Source organism: Homo sapiens, chromosome 2 (genome assembly GCF_000001405.40).
Source record: "Homo sapiens chromosome 2, GRCh38.p14 Primary Assembly".
In the NCBI taxonomy this organism is placed as follows: Eukaryota; Metazoa; Chordata; class Mammalia; order Primates; family Hominidae; genus Homo; species Homo sapiens.
This window is the reverse complement of record NC_000002.12, coordinates 89000331-89021174: the sequence shown is the minus strand read 5'-3', so window position 1 is coordinate 89021174 and position 20844 is coordinate 89000331. Positions and strand designations below refer to the sequence as shown.

General features: G+C 40.4%; 1 pseudogene, 1 gene segment (V, D, J or C) and 1 further gene, besides 4 other annotated features; 2 read left to right on the top strand and 1 right to left on the bottom strand.

Annotated features, from left to right (window-relative positions):
- Positions 1 to 20844, bottom strand: part of IGK (immunoglobulin kappa locus) — a 1378008-nt gene that overhangs the window by 1214194 nt on the left and 142970 nt on the right.
- Positions 490 to 538: a sequence feature (IGKV2-10 leader sequence).
- IGKV2-10 (immunoglobulin kappa variable 2-10 (pseudogene)) lies at positions 490 to 1183 on the top strand (annotated as a pseudogene). Its single transcript is given in 2 exon segments — positions 490 to 538; positions 872 to 1183. Coding segments are annotated over 2 exon segments (361 nt in total).
- Positions 872 to 882: a sequence feature (IGKV2-10 leader sequence).
- Positions 10718 to 10772: a sequence feature (IGKV1-9 leader sequence).
- IGKV1-9 (immunoglobulin kappa variable 1-9) lies at positions 10718 to 11193 on the top strand. The segment is given in 2 exon segments: positions 10718 to 10772; positions 10898 to 11193. Coding segments are annotated over 2 exon segments (351 nt in total), but the record flags the coding sequence as incomplete, so codon positions are not given.
- Positions 10898 to 10908: a sequence feature (IGKV1-9 leader sequence).

Here is a 20844-nt window from a genome sequence, read left to right as displayed (position 1 = left end):
CCTTAAGAGTTGCACCCTTTGCACTGTGTGTTTTACCTTAGATAAAATAAAATAAAATAAAATAAAATAAAATAAAATAAAATAAACAAACCTAGACTCTTTTAAATAAACCTAAACAAAGAAATAAGAATCATCAAATATTTATGAAAGATCAAGCTTATTAAAAAGAAACATAAAACATGCCCGAGAAAGTCCTAAAGAACTAGAAGTCTAGTAGAGGAAACAGCAGGAAAATCTAAATACGTCCCTTCTGCCACTCAGGCAACACAGATTTTACCTCTATTGATTTCCTTAAAAACATAAAATATATTTATGTCATTTTGCTCACAAGAGACGCCCCCACCTTCTCCTTGGCTCTTTCCACCCCACTGCACCCACCAGGGGATTTGCATACTGTCCCCTAGGGAGGACTTTCCTTGTGAGTCTGAGACGAAAGCTCACTCTAACCTTGCCTTGACTGATCAGGACTCCTCAGTTCACCTTCTCACAGTGAGGCTCCCTGCTCAGCTCCTGGGGCTGCTAATGCTCTGGGTCCCTGGTAAGGGCAGAAGGGAAATGAGGGAGGATGATGGGGTGGGAGGGTGAACTCTGTGGACCCCGCCACCTCCCATGTGTGTCCTGTCCTCGTGTTAGATGTGTCTTGTCCTCCAGGATGGGGCATGTGATGTCTAGATCTGTGAGAGTGAGGAAGATTCCAGAAGGAGCAAGGATATGTAAATATTGGTTCTTTTTAAATCTGTATGTTTTGGGAGGATTAATCAAAATCACACACACAAAAATAATTGAGCAAAACATAAATAACAGACAGAAAATGATTAAAATGACTCACAATGTTTGCACATAACCTTGCACTTCTCTCTCATTATTTCATGATCCAATGGAGATGCTGTGATGACCCAACCTCCACTCTCCCTGCCCATCACCCCTGGAGAGCCAGCCTCCATCTCCTGCAGGTCTAGTCACAGCCCCCTTCACAGTAATGGATACATCTATTTCAACTGGTACCTACAGAAGACAGGCCAGCCTCCTTGGCTCCCAATCTATTTGGTTTCCAATCACGACCCTGGAGTCCCAGACAGGTTCAGTGGCAGTGGGTTGGGGACAGATTTCATGCTGAAATCAGGAGGATGGATGCTGAGGATGTTGGGGTTTATTGCTGCCAGCAAAGTACACATTATCCTCCCACAATGGTATAGTCTTGAACACAAACCCCCCCACTTGCTGTGGCCTAGCTGCCCAGATGTGCTGTTTCTGTGGAGAGCAGGCACTGTGGATTCTCTTAGATGCCTAAAGACCAAGATGTTGGAGAACTCAGAGGACTTGGTGCAGCTGAGGGCTCATGACCATAAATTTCTTGGCTACACCTCAGGCACCACATTTTAAGGTCCCGTCAGCTGCAGCAGCCTTTGCATGACAGAGTCTGCAGTATGGAGGAGGTCCACGTGCCCTCTGAGCAATGAGACACAAGAGAAGAGAAGGCTCAATGAGAGCTCATTCTAATCCTCTCTTCCTTCCCTATGTTCATTCATCAACTAAATTCATTCTGCATAACAGGCACCTAATTGAGACTGATTACTGGCAACACAAAACTAACACATTCTTTTGATTTGGTTTAGCAGTTACCAGAGTACATGTACATTGATAAGATCTGGTGATATTAAATCAGTTTCCCTCCCCTCCTCCACCTCCCCCCTCCACTTTTTGTAAGGCCGACCCTTGACCAGAACAGCAGCAAGCACTGTATTTTATCCTACTTTTTTCAGGGAGAAGCCAAATAAAACTCTTCACAGTCTAGATTTTTTAATTACTAGATATGTTGTGGCAAATGTATGCAAAAATAAAGACCTAGTTGCTAAAGTGTTTGCACAGTCTCACTCACAGCATATTGAAGTACAAAAGTAGCTTTCTGAACTCCAAAGCTGGGTTTCAAAAATAAGGACAAAGTTCGAAAGAATAAAGGAACATATGTATGTTATTTAAACAGAATTTGAATGAATACAAGATAATATATAAGCTAACTTTTTACCCCATGAAAAATTACAATGTGAAGATTTTGAGCAGAGGGCAGCAAGTGAGAGACTGGTGGGTTGTGTTTGAGATATGAACCCAGATGGAAGTTCTCACGTATTTCCTGGGAAGAATCACAGAGTTGAGAAGCGCCTGCCTGGCTTTCAAGGCAGTAACAATCTCAACAGAGTCAGGTTATCAAATGGAAATGGCACATTCTTGATCAGGCTTAGTCAGGACCCCACAGGATCTGTGGCTCCATGAACAAATGGAGAGGTTGTTGAAGGGACCAAATGACTTGTAGGTGATAATTTGGATTTTCATTTACCCATGTCGAGCCCAAGATTCAGAGATTTCCATATAGCAGGAGTCACTGATGGCTGAGGAAAACGCAAACTGACAGGTCCACCAGGTGTGGCCACCATTCAGCCAATGGATGGCCACTTTTTTAACTGAAACTTAGCATGGGATTTCAACCCAGTGGGTCAAACTACATTCAGTGGTAATGGCCATGCAGGCTGTTCCAACATCGTACCATGCCACATTCCCACTAAATCATGGGCCATTGCCAACAGCCTCAACATCTGTTCAGGAAAATGGCAACTGAGAGACTGGACTTTTAAAGAATCCCTGGTGTGGAGGAAAGGACTATGGCCACAGCTTTCCACCTGCAGGAAAAAGAGATACGATGCTCAATTGGATGCCGGGACTACCAAGGTCACCCTTGAAAGGAACTTACATCATATTTTTGGATACCCAATGACACTTCACACTGACCAAGGAGCATCTTTCACTGCCCAAGCAACATGACAATAGGCACACTCTCATGGAACACGATGAACTTTCCATGCACCCTGCATCCACAGGCCAATGAATCTAGTGAATGCTAGAACAATGGACTCACACAGCAACATCTAGAAAGGACATCTAGAAAGTCTGCTAATGGGGTGGTACCCCATCTTACTAGAGCAATATGGGCATTAAATATCGCACTCCAGAACAAGGGAAATAATGAATGTTAAGGAACATAATGCTGAGTGGAAACGAAGGTAGACCAGGCAGACCCTTTATTAGTCTGGACCTGTGAAAGCTATTTCAGTGTTCCTAACCATTCTTTTTCTTTTTTTCCTTTAGAATGCATGCCCTGGGGTGATTTTCAATTCAGGCCATCATCTTACCCCAGACAGGCCCCCTAACTCTAATATGGGGATTATGTTTCCTCTAAATGCCTCTTTTCTACAAGATCCCACAGGATGGATGACAAGACTAAGAAATATCAGGGAGCTAGGGGCCCTCTTCTGGTGCCAGGGCCATCTTATCCTTCCTTTAGTATTGGTGATATTATGAAATATGTCAAGTTTTTACAGGGCATAATCTCCCTTCCTGCAGTGGACAATCAGGACTGAAATGTCTGGGTCAAGTGACAAAGGCAATGGATTTTTCACAGAGCAAGGACAGCCAGGCCGCATTCTTACACCAACACAGCCTAACCCTTGTAGATGGGTAGGAGACACCTGAGACCCTGGGATGGGTGAGAGATGATGCACTAACCTGTCACACTGCATTTTGGCAAGAATGAGGCAGCAAAGGCCTAGAAGCATAACATCTTTGTTAGCTTCTTGCAAGTCACCGAGTGTAATCTTTCAAAATACTGAATCTGCCATTCTTGACCTCGTTCTGTCACTAACTAGAGGTTTCCTTTCATTCTACTGAAGGCAAATGACACCAACATTACTGATATCATGGTGTACATCAACAGGACCCGGGCACTGGCCTACCAACTGAGGATGTGATACCTACCACATGGGAGAAAACTGGAGGCCCCCCATTTAACTAAATTGACTCTGTGGCAAATGTCATGACCACAACTAAAAAAAACATTGGTGGACTGATATTTTGATGTACCATATTTCTTTGATTGCATAGATAAGAAATGCCCCAATGGCAAAGACAAAAACAAGGAGAGGACTAATGCTACCCTCTGTCTATGAACAATATTGTCTGAGCAAAACTTTGCTCCTTCAACTCTGCCATCAGTGAGACTTGGCTAATGAACACACCAATACCTGCATAACCATGACTGGGTGATTAAACAATAAAATGGGAGAAAGGGGGCTGTATGCACCCAAGGGCTACATATTTCTCTGTGAATGGTCTGGGAGTGAACAAAATGCAGGATGTGTGATGCCATCTCTGGATAACTGTGGGATGGTGAGATTCTGCATGTTGGGCATGCTGGGCTTGTCTCTGGATATTACTCCTTGGAATTAGGTGAACCATTGAGCCTGCAGCCCAAAGCTGTACCTCAGACTTACTAGGGACCTGCCAGAAGGTATAACAGACTATGGGTTTATGTCTTTTGTGATATTTTTGGTACTATGTATAGGAGTCAGTGCTCATGTAAAAAAGAGAAATGATAAGAAATGTGTCCCTGACCATGGCAGATATGGCTCCTCCTCCATAGCCACTGCCTTGGTAGCCCAGCAGACATCCCTTAACTCCATCGGGATGGATGTTTTAGATAACAGTGTTGCTCTAGACTTTTTTAAAATCCCAACTGGGAGGATTGTATACAATTTCCAACACTTTCTGTTGTACCTGGACAAACACCTCAGGTATCCTAGAAATTCAAGAGAGGAGATCTGGAAACAGGCTCGTAATTGAAGAAAATGGTCCCACCTGAAGGATTCTTCTTTCACCCCTTTAGCAACTTCTTCTGTGGATCATTGGATCCTGGGCTACATAACTGCTTCAGGTGGGCCTGATCATCCTGCCTCTGGTAGTAGTTTTCATTGGCCCAGTGAAATCTATTCTGGCTCTGGCTCTATGATGTTGCTTTGACATTGTGTTCGTCGAGGGGCTTCATCAGTCAAACAAGACACACCTCTGCCACCAGTTCAGGGTTATTAGTAGGCATATAAAATGGAATGGCTTTCTAACGGGGGTGTTTGGGTTGGGGGTGACTCCAGTACAGTCCTCTAATGGTTCTCGACTCAGTTAGTTCTCCCCACTCTCTTTCTTACACTTCTCAAGAACAACTGTAGAATGTGCTGGAAATGTAACATTCTGAAATAGGGAGAGACTGGTCAGAAGAGCCTGCCCCTGTTCCAGCTTCTCCTAGTACTGTCCTCCAGTACTTTAGTCCTCCAGTACTTTAGCTCCATGTGTCCTGTGACACCAGGATTAAAAACCCAGAGCATCTTCTTTCTGGGGTTGCTGAGTTGTGGTCCAACTGGGGTACACACAGTCAAGATTCCATCAGACCCACATGCCTGTGCCTCAGGGGACAGACCCACAATACATCCTAGGCTTCTGCAGTCCCTTGTTGGCCACCTATAAATACTACACCAGATTCTTGTAACTTGTTGTGTATGATTGTTCTGTCTCCCTGGACTCTGATAAGTTGGTAACCAGGGCACAGTGAACCTGCTTCAGAGTAGTCACTGTCATAGAGACAGAACTTGAATGGAGGTTGCCAGGAACTTGAAGCAGGGGAAATGGGGAGAGGGTTGTCATTTAATTGAAATAGAGTTTCAGTTTTAGAAGATGGAAAGAGTTCTGGAGATTGCTATTATTGATGATAGCACAACAATGTGACTTACTTAATGCCATTGCCCTGTACACTTAAAAATGGCTAAGATGGGCAATGTTATGTTCTCTATATTTACCATAGTTGAAAAACTTAGCATTTTTATTATGATATTGATGGATTATAAGACATCATTCTATTTTCTAGTTTTCTGAGCAAATGTTAATAAATAATCTCTTATAGATGTCATTGTTCACACCACATCTTACCAAACATTCTTTTTTTTCTACAGACAGGGGGATCTCCTTATTTTTTCGAGGCTGGTCTTGGACTCCTGGCTTTCAGCTGTCCTCCATCCTTGACTTTGCAAACATCTAGGATAACGGGCATAAGCCCCTGCACCTTGCCTTAACTAACAATTTATCAGCTTTAACAGGGAACTTCCTTGAAAATGTATATTCCATTGCAGCCACCTCTAAGGCCAGACAATCCCCTAAGCCATATTTCTGTACCCAAGTGCACTGCTCCCTCTGTGATGTCACATGCCCTCAGAATGAAGTCCCATAAGGAGAACAAGGCAAGGAGGCCACCAAATGATCTGAGTGGAAATTATTGTGAAGGTCTGGCATTAAAAGAGCATCAGTGTTGCAGTTTTTCTTGACTAGCAAAACACTCTCTGACTTATTTTCCTGGATGTTTTTTTTTTTCCTTAAACTTTTCCTAATATTGAATACTAGGGTTGAGATGAGAACCTTTCTATCCTAAGTCTAGTTAAACACTATTTCATTGAAGACATATTGCCTTATGGAGTACGATAATAATAAATGTTGAAAACACTTATTACTACTCCCAACACACCTTGTATATACCTTGTTACCATCTTAAATATTATGGCTTGATAAAATTATTTGAAAAGGAGCTTGGATGGCATTGATTCTATTCTCAATATCCTGAAACACATCAACCACCAAAATTGACAAGAAAATAGTCAGAAAAACATAGCTTAATAATCACTAGCTATTCTGGTTACTGTTGAGTGACAATTAGGTGAAATCTTAAAAAAAAAATCAAAACAGCAGTTGGAGGGTGTGGAGCTATAATAAGTTATTGGTGGACATGTAAAATGTTTCAGCCACTTTGGAAAAAGTTGAACAGAGTATTAAACACTTACTGTAAGACCCAGCAACTACACGCCTAGGAATTAGCCCAAAAGAAATAAAGAGATATGTTCATACAAAGTCTTGTTCAAGAACATTCATAGCAGCTTTATCCGTAATAGCCCAAAGTGGAAACAACTTACATGGCAATCAACAGGTGAAAGGATCCATTATAAAATTACCAAACAGTTAAATAACACTCAAAAATAAAAAGGAGCACATAACTGGAACACATGACATCTCAATGAATCTGAGAAGCAGTTATGCTGCACAAAATTCACCAGATGCAAAAGAGCACATGCTATATTTCATTTATATGAAACCCTTAAAAAGAAATTGGAATCTGCACTGACAATAAGCAGATCAAGAATTCCCTGATCTGTGTGGTGGAAAGCAAGTGGATTCCAAAAGAGTAGGTCAAAACTTTTGGGAGTTATAGAAATGTTCTATGTCTGGATTTTGGAGGTGGTTCTGCAGATGTATTTATTTGTGACAGTTCTTTGACAGTGTATTTTATTGTAATTTTTTTTCAGTAAACTTAGTTAACAGTGAACAAAGTAAGTGCAAGACCAATTGGGTAATGTTGTCTTTGCATCTTCTATCTGTAGTGTACTGAAAATTGTATGAGCCAGAATATCTGAGAGAAAATCTCAGCTCCGAAACAAGAACTGTGTAGCTCTTGGCAAGATCTCTCTTTTCTAAGGAGTTTGGATTTTTCTTCTATAGAATGAGAATTTAAATACCCTTCATAGATTAAATCAAAATGGTAGGCTTTTAATACACATTCATTATTCATTTCAACTAAAAGTCTAAGCAAAACAAAAAGTCATACAAAAATAAAAATAATATTTAAATAAGATGAAATATTCTTTTAAAAGTTAGGAAAATGGAACTGTCACATCTTCCGTTTCATATCAATTTTTTAGAACTTGTAATTACATATCAAGTGTTCTTAGCATAAAAACTGTAATACACTTAACCATGTGTGTTCACAAACATATAGGTATAAAAATGATTATATTTTCCTTCTTTCCCTATTTTTCAGAATATTTGTGTTTATGTTCACAAGAGATACCAGCATTTAATTTCTCCGTTTGTTACGTCCTTGTTTGTTTTTGGACTGGAGTATATGGTGATCTCATATGATAAGTTTGGGAGTATTTATTCTTTTTGAATCTCTTGAAAATTTGTGTAATTTTGATAAGGTATCAAGACACCAGTCAGGCAGATATAAAATTGGAAATTTCGTTCTGGGTAAATTTATAATACAAAGTTATTGTTACTTCTGTCAAGCTAGTTGCCATAAAAATACTCAGAATATCCACCTTTTGTATTTTTATAATCATAGGCTCTGCAATGATTTTCCCCTTTCCATTTATAGTGCTGTGTTTTGGGGTTTTATTCTTTTTTCTACCCCTTTCATCAACTTGTCACAGGCTTCAATTCTTTCTGGGAGGGCATATGTGGCACATGAGAAATGCTGGTTCTTGTGGATATGAGATCATTCACTGTTTTTGTATGTAATACTGTGGAAAGTGCTGTGACATAAACCTCTTCTTCACGAAATTGATTACTGTTCAAACATTCTTCCCCAACCAATATGGAATTTGCTGTGTTTTTAATGGTGTAATTCACATAGGCATACAAACCCTGAATTGAAATAGTGGATGTGCCCTCTACCACATGGTATATTTAAAGAAGTTAAATAATATTAACACGTAATGAGTAGCTTTGAATTTTAAAAATCTATTTGGCAAGGAATTCACAGTTCCTTCCATCTAAAATAACCTAATGATTCTTCCAGAAGTGATCCTGGTTTGATGCTTCTCTCCCCGTGGTGACAGAGGTTTGGCACATCATCACACTTATAAAGCCCCCCATTTACCTGTCTACAACCACTGTGCAGGCATGAACATTATTTTCCCTTGCTCTAGTCCTTTTTCTACACCCTAGTTTCACATAATTTGAGACTCAAAACATTTCTCAGGTAAGATTCTGGATTGAGCTAACAAGATTTCTCCAGAGGTGTCAGAGATGCCTGTACAATCACTGATGCATCTCTAGAGGGAGTTGTAAGTATGAGGAAGAGAAGAGCTTGTAAATCTTCAAGCTGCTTTTACTCCCACTGTACTAACAACAACTACTACAATCACAACATCCACAACAGCACAGGACGAGCTTCTACAGCTTCCAATGCATCTATCTCAGTAAATCTCCTCTACCTCTATCTCATGCTGCTAGAATTTTTGAGAGTCATGCAAGTACTGCTGTACCCTTTAGTTCATAATTTGAAAAGAAGGAAGCCTCAGTGCAACATAGGCAGTCCTTAAACCAGTCACCCTTTAGTTTCTGGATCATCATTATACACATAAACACAGCATGTATCATAAATATATATATATATATGCACACACACACACACACACACACACACATATATATCCATGAGGCAATACTTACCACAGTCTGTGTTTTCTGTGGTATTATATTTTCCTCTTTTTCTCTTATTCTGGTTTTTTCCTTAAAAAACCTCCAACTAACTTAAGCAAATTAACAAGCAAAAAAAAACTATTTTAAAAAGTGGACAAAGTATATGACCAAACACTTTTCAAAAAAGCATATTAACGGCCAAAAAGCGTATGAAAAAGTGCTCAAAATCACTAATTATTAAAAAAATGCAAATCAAAACCACAGTGAGATACCATCTTACACCAGTTAAAATGGCCATTATTAAAAACTTAAAAATGACAGATGCTAGTGAGTTTATGGAGAAAAGAGAATGCTTATACACTGCTGGTGGGAATATAAATCAGTTCAGCCATTATAAAAAGCAGTTTGGCAATTTTGCAAAGAACTTAAAACAGAAATATCATTTGACCCAGCAATCTCTTTATTGGATATATACTCTAAGGAATATAAATCATTTTACCATAAAGACACATGCATGTGTATGTTCATCACTGCACTATTCCTAATAGCAAAGACGTGGAAGCAACCTAAATGCCCATCAGTTGTAGATTGGATAAAGAAAATGTGGTACATATGCAACATGGAATACTTAATATACAGCTATGAAAAATGAGATCATGTCTTTTGCAACACTGTGGATGGTGCTGGAGGCCATTATCCTAAGCAAACTAACACAAAGATTCAAGTTTATGCTAATCAAGGCTCCTGTAGTAGAAGAAGAAAAAAAATTGTTTTAAAGTAATCAGATTTAGCATTGCTAGTCAGACTTTTATGCTGATGGACCATGGGAAATAATTCACAATGACAGAAAAGGGGGTAGAATATGGGGGTCCCCAAGCAGAGAATAAAATGAATCCCATTAAAACTCGAGCATTAAAGAGACTTATAGCTCTGGACAATGCAGGAACTGTGGATGTCATATGCTTTAAGGAATCCCAATATCATCTTCTTTGTCAATCTGCAGTAAACCTCTTCAGCTTAGACTGGTAATAACATTGGTTTAGGGCCATTACAAAATGCTTTTGAGAACATTTTACTTGCTCATGACTAAGTGTTCTTTTTTACTTAAAAAAAGATCAATTTCATGCTTACAAAAATGTAGTATGTATGTCACAAAGTATCGCTCCCAACTGGAACAATTTCACAGTGTGTTGAAGACCTGATAGCCCCACTCTCTAAGACTTTATTAAGAATTCTCTACAAACAAGGATATTCTCCTACTTATGCCCAATACGGCATTGAAATATATTATTCCATCTAGTTCTCACAACCACTTCGAGATTTGCCAATAAATGCTCAAAAATGTACTTGGTAACAAAATATCCTTTAGGAAGAAACATTCTCTGCAGGCAAATCTAGGTGCCCTGGTCTGACCTGGGACACTGGGGACACTGCCCCTGTGCTGAGTTACTGAGATAAGCCAGCCACGCAGCTGTATCCAGCCTGCCCCACCCCCTGCCGATTTGCTTGTTCCCAGAGCACCACCCCCTGCCCTAAAGACTTCTTAATAGGCTGGTCACACCTGTGCAGGAGTCAGTCCCAGTCAGGACACAGCATGGACATGAGGGTCCCCGCTCAGCTCCTGGGGCTCCTGCTGCTCTGGCTCCCAGGTAAGGAAGGAGAACACTAGGAATTTACTCAGCCCAGTGTGTTCCGTACAGCCTGGCTCTTGAGGGAAGTTCTCTTACAACATGATTAATTCTATGGACATTTGTGTTTATATTTCCAATCTCAGGTGCCAGATGTGACATCCAGTTGACCCAGTCTCCATCCTTCCTGTCTGCATCTGTAGGAGACAGAGTCACCATCACTTGCCGGGCCAGTCAGGGCATTAGCAGTTATTTAGCCTGGTATCAGCAAAAACCAGGGAAAGCCCCTAAGCTCCTGATCTATGCTGCATCCACTTTGCAAAGTGGGGTCCCATCAAGGTTCAGCGGCAGTGGATCTGGGACAGAATTCACTCTCACAATCAGCAGCCTGCAGCCTGAAGATTTTGCAACTTATTACTGTCAACAGCTTAATAGTTACCCTCCCACAGTGTTACAAACCTGAACATAAACCCCCAGGGAAGCAGACATGTGAGGCCGGGCTGCCCCAGCTGCTCCTCCTGATTCCTCCATCAGCTGAGAGTGTTCCTCAGATGCAGGCACACTCTGATGGTGTTGGTAGAGGGGGATGTGAAGTCACCTCTGCATCCCAATTTCTTTTTCTTTCTCAGCACCAGGTGCACAGACATAACAGTTCCTCTCCTGATTTAAAAAAGGCAGGGATCATGACACCTGAGGAGTCTAGTTTATGGCTTCAGTTGGAATTCAAGTAACAGAGAAGAAGCCACTATAGATATTCTAAGCAGGAATTGTCTTGATACAGAGAAATAGAGTATAAACTATGGAAGTCTAAATAAAAATATAGAGATGAATCTCAAATTTCATGTTTTATTTGCTAAGAAATATTTGCTAAATGGGGCATACAGAAAAACTCAATGGTCTTCAATATGTTGAAAGAACAAAGAGAAGCTTAGAGTTTCATGAAAAAAGGAAAATGTTACCTATTGCTCTTTGAGAAAGTTTATTGGCTCCAGAAAATTTTGGGAGCTGGCAAGCTCAGAATGGTAAGCACTGATGGACAAACTGAATCCTAGAATTATGTTAAATTATTCAGAAGTTGGGGTTGAATTTGATTTCCGGTTACAAGAGGCCAAAGCAGTGAAGCTTGCAGAGAATCTTGTTACTGAAATGCCAGGGATTTGGTGTAGATCCTGCTGCTCACCACATATAAAACCAATCACTAAGACAACAAGTATTGCCAAGAAACAGGCTTTAATCAGGTGCTGCAGCTGTGGAAATGGGACCCCATTCTCAAATGTATCTCCCTGACAAACTAAAATTAGGGGGTTATATAGCAGGGAAGAAATGTGGGCAAACAGGAATTAGGGAGGGGTAATGAAGTTAATTTTGTCAACAGGAAGCAGAAGGTCAGTGAGGCAATCACAATGTGTGAAGGGTCTGACGTCTCACTGTCCTGATTCAGTGATATGTAAGTTTCAGCTCTCTGATAGTATCTGGAGGCCTCTTGGTGGGTTTCCTGAAAAAGGAACTCAGATAAGACAAATGTAACTAACTTGAGTTTTAAGACTGGGGAAGTCAATTTCTATGTTTATTCAAAAAACCATAAACATTACTTCCATGGGATAATAGGGCCTATTTCAATTGCATTCTTCAGACAATATTTTACACCCTGAGTGTCTTTCCCTCCTGGTTTCTTGGCTCTGTTGGGTATGTCAAGAATGACCCAATTCCTACATTAACGTTCACACTGCAACCTTTCAAGGCCAAGGATATAGTAGTCATGAAAGCTGACATTAGAAGCAGGATTCTCTGGTGCTCCCTCAGAAAACAGAATCCATCTGCCCCTAAAGTATGGGCTATCTAACCATGTGGTCCTCAGTCCTGTCTGGAAGCTTAGGGGTGGGGGTGCTGATGCTCTCAGCTTCCTACAGCATCTTTTCAGGTGTTTCTCCTGTCCTCATCCCTGTCCCTGTGTCTGTCTTAGGTACCAATGGAGAATATTGAGTCATCCTTTTCTGATTTCCAAATCTCATGGAAGGACCTCTTATTGGGCAACTCTATAGGACAAAAGAGAGGCAAAAAGGGATATTTATGTAAGTTAAAATGAATTTTCTCCCATGAGGCCATTTAAGTATATTATATTTAAAGCCACGTGTTGAAAACACATCCAGCTTCAGTTTCTTATTAATGCAAATTTACATTTGCAAATATTTTCAATACTGTAAGTTGAAATCATAGTTATTTGTCCATGGAATGATCAAACACCTCTATAATTAAATGGAGTGAACATTTTCTTAAAAATTTGTACTCACTGAAATAAAGGAATATATTTAAAATGTGTGAAGCTATGTTAGAAATTATTGGACTTAAACTCAGCTGTGCAGTTTGGTTTGGGATGTTGTTCACTCTTGTGACCTGCCAGAAGAATCTTGAGTCATGGGTAGTCACTGCTGTTCAGCCTTGTCCTAAGACAATTAATATGTATAGGCTGAAGACAAGCTCAGTGCCATGCAGAGAAACCACTTACCTGAGCCCTTCCTTGATCAGCCAGATGATTGTGAACATGAGCATCCATGAACATGAAAACAAATATTTACTGTTATCAGTCACTGAGTTGTGTATTTAGCCAGTTACCAATCATTATGCATAAAAGCTCCCTGATACATTATTTACACCTCTACCTATATATACACACATGTATTTTTTCTTAAATTGGTGGTATAAATGTGAATATTTAGTAATCAAATTATAAAGTTATTAAAAGAAAATTAATGACAAAATTAAAACTAATATTTCAATAAAAAATTAAAATTTACCTTATTTGTGGAAAAATATGCATAAATGTATGTAAGATATGTATAAATAAATATATACTTATTTGTTAAAATGGCTACATATATATAGTATTTATGTTTAATTGTGTTTCTTCTATTATATATGCAATATAAGCCTATTTGTAAAATTATTATCTACATTGAATACATTTAAATAATTTTTGTTACATTCCATAAAAAATTGTATTCTGGACCACAAATAGTTCATACTCTTGCTACAGAAAATTTATTGGTAGCCTTTATTTTTAAAACTCTACCAAATGGTTGTCCTTACATGAAAATATTTTTCCAACCCAGTAGAGCTCCAAGGGTAGGACTAGAAGAAATTTTGACTAACGTTGAATATTAACCATTGCATCCTGTGAAAATCTCCATTATGTTCATGCCCACAATGATGATATGCCAGATAGAGTCCTCACAACAATAGATGCTGGATGGAGTCACATCAGTGCCATTGTCAAGGAAGCCCTGGAAATGTAAAAATCCTAACCGTGGGTAAACTGTAAGGTTACATCTGATGATCCCATTGCAAAGAGAAGAGGATTTTTATAATATTGGCCTTTGGTTTTAACAGATCATCAGGTCTTAAAAGAAACACAACAGGATGATTGCAGACAAAGCCATTCTGGAAGAGCTATGATGAGATGTTTCAAAAATGAGCCACAATCCAAAAAAATGCTTTCCAAGTGAGTATTAATCAAAATGCCATTAATGAGCAGGGGGCTTTTAATAATGAGGATGATTCAACACATGGACTTCAGTCAGTCACCTTTCCCAGCTTTCCCAGGGAGTATCATGAACCAATGTTATGGAGGTCTCTGGGGGGCTCAATAATATGACTTTCAACTAACTGAGACCTACAGGGCTACCGGCTTTTCTGAACATCTAATTTGTCAAGAAGAACCCCTAACATTGTATGATACATCAGGGCTCAGACTAACAGCTGGTATTAGGTGATACTAGTGGACCTCATGTAACATAAGGAAAGCACTGGTTATTTTCCTATATATGAATTTGCCATTCTTATCGGTTATGTTTCTGCATAAAATATTATTTGAGGATTTTCCAAGTGCTTTCATCAGAATCAGGAAATTCTTCCATAAAATGGCTTTGGATCAAGCAAGTTATTTACCTCAAAAAAGAAGAGCGAAGTGTAGCTTATGATCTTGTCTTGTGCACAGGTGCAACTTTCCCTATAGACAGGGAAAAACCTATTATTAGTCAAGCAAAGCTGTCACACAAACCCTTGTGCTGTTGAATTACTATACGATCAGAAGTGGTGGAGGCTCTGAAACATTAACCGTGATGGGTGCTTTTACTCCCTTAAACAGAATATATATATCTTGAAAATGAGCTGTAGACTTACCATTGTTAACGCCAACTGAACAGCTTGAAATACTCTATTTCTGTTTTCTCAGGGCTGTGGTTTTCTGGTTGATGGTTCTTTTTTTTTTTTAAGACGGTCTCTCACTCTGCTGCCAGGCTGGAGTGCAATGGCGCCATCTCGGCTTCACTGTAACCTCTGCCTCCCAGGTTTAAGCTATTCTCCTGCCTCAGCCTCCCGAGTAGCTGGGACTACAGGGGGTACACCACCTGTAGCCCAGCTAATTTTTGTATTTTTACTACAAACGGGGTTTCAACATGTGGGCCAGGAATGGTCTTGATCTCTTGACCTCGTGATCTGCCTGCCTCTGCCTCCCAAAGTGCTGGGATTACAGGCATGAGCCACCACGCCTGGCCTGGTTGATGATTCTTAATCCAAAGAGTTGACATGACAATTATCCCAAGAAATTGGAAGAAATGATATAAGCATGTGACCATTTAGACTTAAGACAATACTGGATAAGTTGTCAACACAGGGTGTTAGTTTGTTTGCTGGGGCCATAGGTCTAGTTCATATAAAGCAAGAGCAAATGGAATTGATTTTACATATCTTAGAGAGGAAGTACAGAAAATATGCACCCTAGGGGACCTTCTGGAATGTTTCTATTTATTGCCATTTCCACTGGTAAAACTCAGAGAAGACGTCAACAGTCATCAGGTAGAAGTTCTAGGGATCACAGTCATGTGAAGCATTACTTGCACTTGGATCGCCAGTGAGGCAAAGGGAAGATGAAACGCATAGTGGGATATGGAGGTGGAAACATTCATGGTCAGCTTAAACGTGGAAAAGTGTATTTATTTTTTCTCTTTAGATTTATCACTGAATCAGTTGGATCTGAGAAAAGCGATTATGACTGGTTAGGTAGAAAGGTGTTTATTATCATGAATTAAATGGATTGAAAACATTTGGAGAAACCAGTGGCAGCTTAGGGATCTCCAAGTACTCCCTTTGCTATTCCCTCACCCTGCCCACCCCGTGTTTTCCACAGTGAAGGAAGATACTCTCATTTTGATAGAAACATGGCAAGTGAAGATACTGTGCCCACAAGACTGTGCTGCCTGGCTGTGACCCAGACCAGGAAATTGAGTACATTTGAGTGAGATCAGGCACTTCCCCTCCCTCATCTCAATCCAAAAGCACTCTGTAGTAACACATCTGATGGGCATTCTTCACCACCTATGGGACTTAGGAAGCCAAGGACATGAGGAATAGCCTTTCCAGACTCTACCATAGAGAAATTATTGCCAGAAACTAGAGAATAAAATAAATACGGAAGAAGCTGGTGACAATAACGAAATGAGCCATTCATATATGTATGTTAAATAATTTAGTCTTTTCAATACACCCTTTCTTTAAAAAAATCAAAGTGCTATTTTTAGCCACCTTTATAATATAGACCACATATTAAATAATATGTACACAGATTAATGGCTCATGAGAGAAGATCATTTTTTCCTGGATGGTGTTGGGCTGAACAGATTGGAGATTCCTCACATTTTGGGGAGCACAGTGCTACATTGGTAGCATGATGTTCTTTGTAAAGAAAATATTTATGTTAGATTGTAGCCTGTTGTGGTTGATACTAGTAATGCCTGGAAATTCAAGTGTAGAAAGATGTGTACTTATGATAGAAAGCCACAGGATGGACTTGGGCAGAAATAAACCCTGCAGCCTTGAAAACAGATGAATCTATGTGAGACTGACATGAAGATGTAATCAACACAGGCAGGTATGCAGAGAAAGGGGTCAGTTTTCTAGTAGTTGATAGCAGAGCGGCTGTCCTTCTGGGGGCAGTAGTGAGAAGAGCTGCTCTCTTTTCTGCAGGAGACAGCTTGAATGTGGAGTCTAAGGCAGCAGGAGCTCCTCCCCAGCCTGCACCAGCAGTGCCATTCTTGGAATTGTTCTAGAGGCTTTGCCAGGAGCATGTTCCTTAAGACTTTTCAACAATTTGCAAGGAATTTAATATCCCTAGTAAATCCCTTTATGCTTCACGAATTTGACATTTGCAACAGGGAATATACACAATCCACAGTGACATCATTCACTGCCTCCTGTTTTTCTTGCTAAATATAATGCTTTTCAGGTGGACCTGCCAGAGGAAGCCAATGTGAACAACAATCCATGTCACCAAAAATGCAAGACAAATAAGCTCGGGAAAGTCACTGGGTTCTCACATAGCTGCACTGTCCCCTGGTACAAAATGGGAGAGTGTAAAACTCTTAGCTCCACCATCAGAGAGATGGTGGAGTGTGACCTTCTCAGTATAGTAAGTCAGTATGTATAGACATTTAAATACTAACACCTTTAACACCAAAATACAGGCAAAGGTAGAAAAGAAGATAAATTGGACTTCATAAAAATTTAAAATGGGCATCAAAAGACATAATCAACACAGTGAAAATGCAACATGTGGAACAGAAAAAAATATTTTTAAATCATATCTGATAAGGGGTTAATAATATCTACTATACAAAAATAATTTCTACATGTCAACAGTAAAAATAAAATAACTGATTAAAAGTGAGAAAAGTACATGAATAGACATTTCCCTAAAGAAGATTCTTTAGAGATAATTAGATAACTAGAATAAGAAAAGATGCTCAATGTTATTAATCCTTAGAAAAATAAAAACAAACCCCACTTTGCACATATTAGGATTTTTTTCCAACAGAAAATGACCAGTCTTGGTGAGAATTTAGGGAACTGGAACTCCTGTGGACACTGTCTTGGTGATGTAAATGGCCCACCTGCTGTGGGAAACAAGATGGCAATTCCTCAAAGAAATAAAAATAGAAATACTATATAACTCAGCAATTACACTTTTGGACACATACCCAAGTAATTGAAGATATTAACTTGAGGACGTATTTGTATACCCACATTCAGAACCGAATTGTTCATAGTAGCCAAAAGGTAGAAGCAACTCAAATGTTCACAAAGGAAGGAATTGGTAATCCATATGTGGTATATACATACAAAAGCACATTACTGAGGGAAATTCTGACACACGCTACAACATGGATAAAACTAGAGGACACTACACTAAGTGAAATAACCCAGTCTCAAAAATACCGAGTTATGATTTCACTTTGGTATTTGCAGAAAAGTTTCCATTTAGTCATGAATCAACCCAGTCTCCTTCCCTTTCTTGCTAGTAGTTTTCAGGAATAACTGTAGAATGTTCTGGAAATGTAGCATTCTGAGCTAGAACAAGATTGGCCAAAATATCCTGGGCTCTGTTTCTGTCCCTACTACAAAGAGGAATTCCCTCAACACTCTAGCCCAGTGTGTCATGTGATTCTAAGACATAAAACCCAGGGTGGACTGCATTCCAGGGTCCCTCAGCTGCAGTCCTTGTTGGGTATGTATGGTCTAGAGTCAATCAGGCCCTGACAGCTTTGTGCTCTCTCATGCTGACTCTCTGTAAGTAGTAATCCACTTCATGTAACTGGTTGTGCATGGGTGTTCTGTCTCACTAGATTTGGGTAAGTTGGCAACCAGTGCACAGCAAACCTTCTTGGCAAAATTGGTGCAGTGAGAAGGTTTGATTTGAGAGAACTATGGCTTATGGTGAAGTTGGAGGAACAATACTCTCCAGTACCTGGCCCAGGACAGAGATATCAGCCTGGAGATGCAAGGGCTGGACATGCAGATGGATGTTTAATGAGGAGGGAGGATAAACAGGACATTTGTCCTCCTCCCATTAATATGGATCAGCTGGCTGACTGAATTGAGACATAGAAAAAAGAATGTGGAAATAGGAATGGGGTACACAATTTTCTAGTTGTTAGACAGTTGCATGATTGCTCATTCCTGAGGCAAGAGAGCTCAAGACATGGGTAATCAGATGGACCCTGAGTCACCCAAGATGACACAAGAAAGATAATCTCAATGGTCCCTGAAGCATCTGATAAGGAACCAAAATGAACAACAATGGCCATCACAGAAAAGGAGGCTCACTCTCTATAAAAGAGACATGGAAAAACACGAGGGAAGTCTTATGCAGCCTGGTCGGTGTGTTTGTTTGGTTAAGCCACATTGCAGACCCAAATGTCTGTCTGAATGGCACAGGTAGGAACAGGGCCAAGGTCTCCACCAGAGGCTACCAGCCCTATATTCCTCTCAAGATAAAAGGTGAAAAAAAAAAAAAAGAATTCAGACTATTCTGGGATTTTTGTATGCTGCAATCCACCTGACAATATTACCAGGTCCTCCCTGGAAAAAAATAAACTGAAGACATCAGAAGGTGTCAAGACAAATGAGGACCCCATGGTGAGTATGTGCTTGTGTGCTGATCTGCATGTGGACCACACCCTTTGGGCTATGTTGGGTGCTGGTGACCATGGTTCTCACTGCAGAGTGCAATAGAGGTACTGACATTTTGCTGCTGTGCCACAAAACATCACTGCTGCCTGAGGGGCTATCCGCACTCATAGCTAAGTATTCAAGACACGACAGTGGGGCATATCCACTCCTGCCTGCCACCTAAGCTTCCCGTGTCCCAGAGTGTTGTTCACAAAGCAGGACTGCATATTCAGTGAAGATCGGAACACTACCTAGTAAATTTAATAGTTGCTACAAAAAGATTAAAATGTCACAAAGCCTGGTGTCACAATGGAACAACCCAGTTTGGCAGACCAATGATGGATTGTTGAAGGCTGAATGCCAAGGCCACCTGAAAAAGAAACCTAGGAGGTATCCCAGGTATATTTAATCATTGCTGGTCCTGGTGGCGTCCACTAATAAGATGGAGACCCAGAAGCTAGTAGGTATTTTGGGGTACTGGGGACAGTAGAAACCTTACCTGGGTGTTCTTTTGGTCATGTTAGTCAAAATCACCCTTGGAATCTGTTCAACAAGGCATGACTGAGGCACTTCTTTAAGACCTTCAGAGGCTGCTTGCTCAATGGAAATCCAGGTGTCCACTATTTCTATATATGCTGACTGGAGCCTGTGGCAACAGAAGCCACCAGTTGTGCCTCTTTTGAATGGCAACTTCTTGCTGTAGGAAACTGATAGGGGCTGATTATCTCATAGCTAGAGCATCAGGGATGACGCTGCTACCTTAACTACCCATTCTCACTTTGGTGCCTACAAACACAATCAATAAAACTGGACAGGCCCAACAGATCCAAATTATTAAATGGAACTGGTACAGTCAGAATTCGCCCTAACCCAGTTCCCACAGGATCCATGTGCAAATGGATGAATGCCCATAAACAAATAGCAAGCTTCCTAGAAGGGAACAAATGACCCATAGGGGACAATTTTGTTTTTCCTTTGGCCACAATGAGCCAACGATTCAGAGACATGCCTATGTCAGTATGGCATGGGGCCCTGATGATTGTACAAAATACATGCCAGTGGGTCCACTGGGTGAGGCCACCATCCAGCCAGGGGATGGCATCTTTTGACTGACACTGAACATGGACATTCTGCCCAGTGGGCCAAACTTCATGCAATGATAGTAGCCATGCAGGCTGCCCCCAACACTATATTTTGCTCCATTTCCACTAAATCATGGGCCATTGCCAACAACCCAGCCATCTGGTCAGGAAAATAGCAACTGAGTGGCAGAACTATTAAAGGATCCCCTGTGTAGGGAAAAGGACTATGGCCATAGCTTGCTTCCTGGACAGCTAAATGTATGTCACTCAGTTAGATGCTGGGGCTACCATGGTGACCTTTGAAAGGAATTTATGTCATGTTTTTGGATACCCCATGAGACTTCACTCTGACCAAGAAACAACCGCCCAATCCGCATGACAATGGGCACATTCTTGAGGAACCCAACGGAGACTTTCCACGCAATTACCAACACCCAATACTACCTGCTGTGCCTGGATAAACACCTCGGGTATTCTAGAAATACAAGTAGAGGTGATCCTAAAGCAGG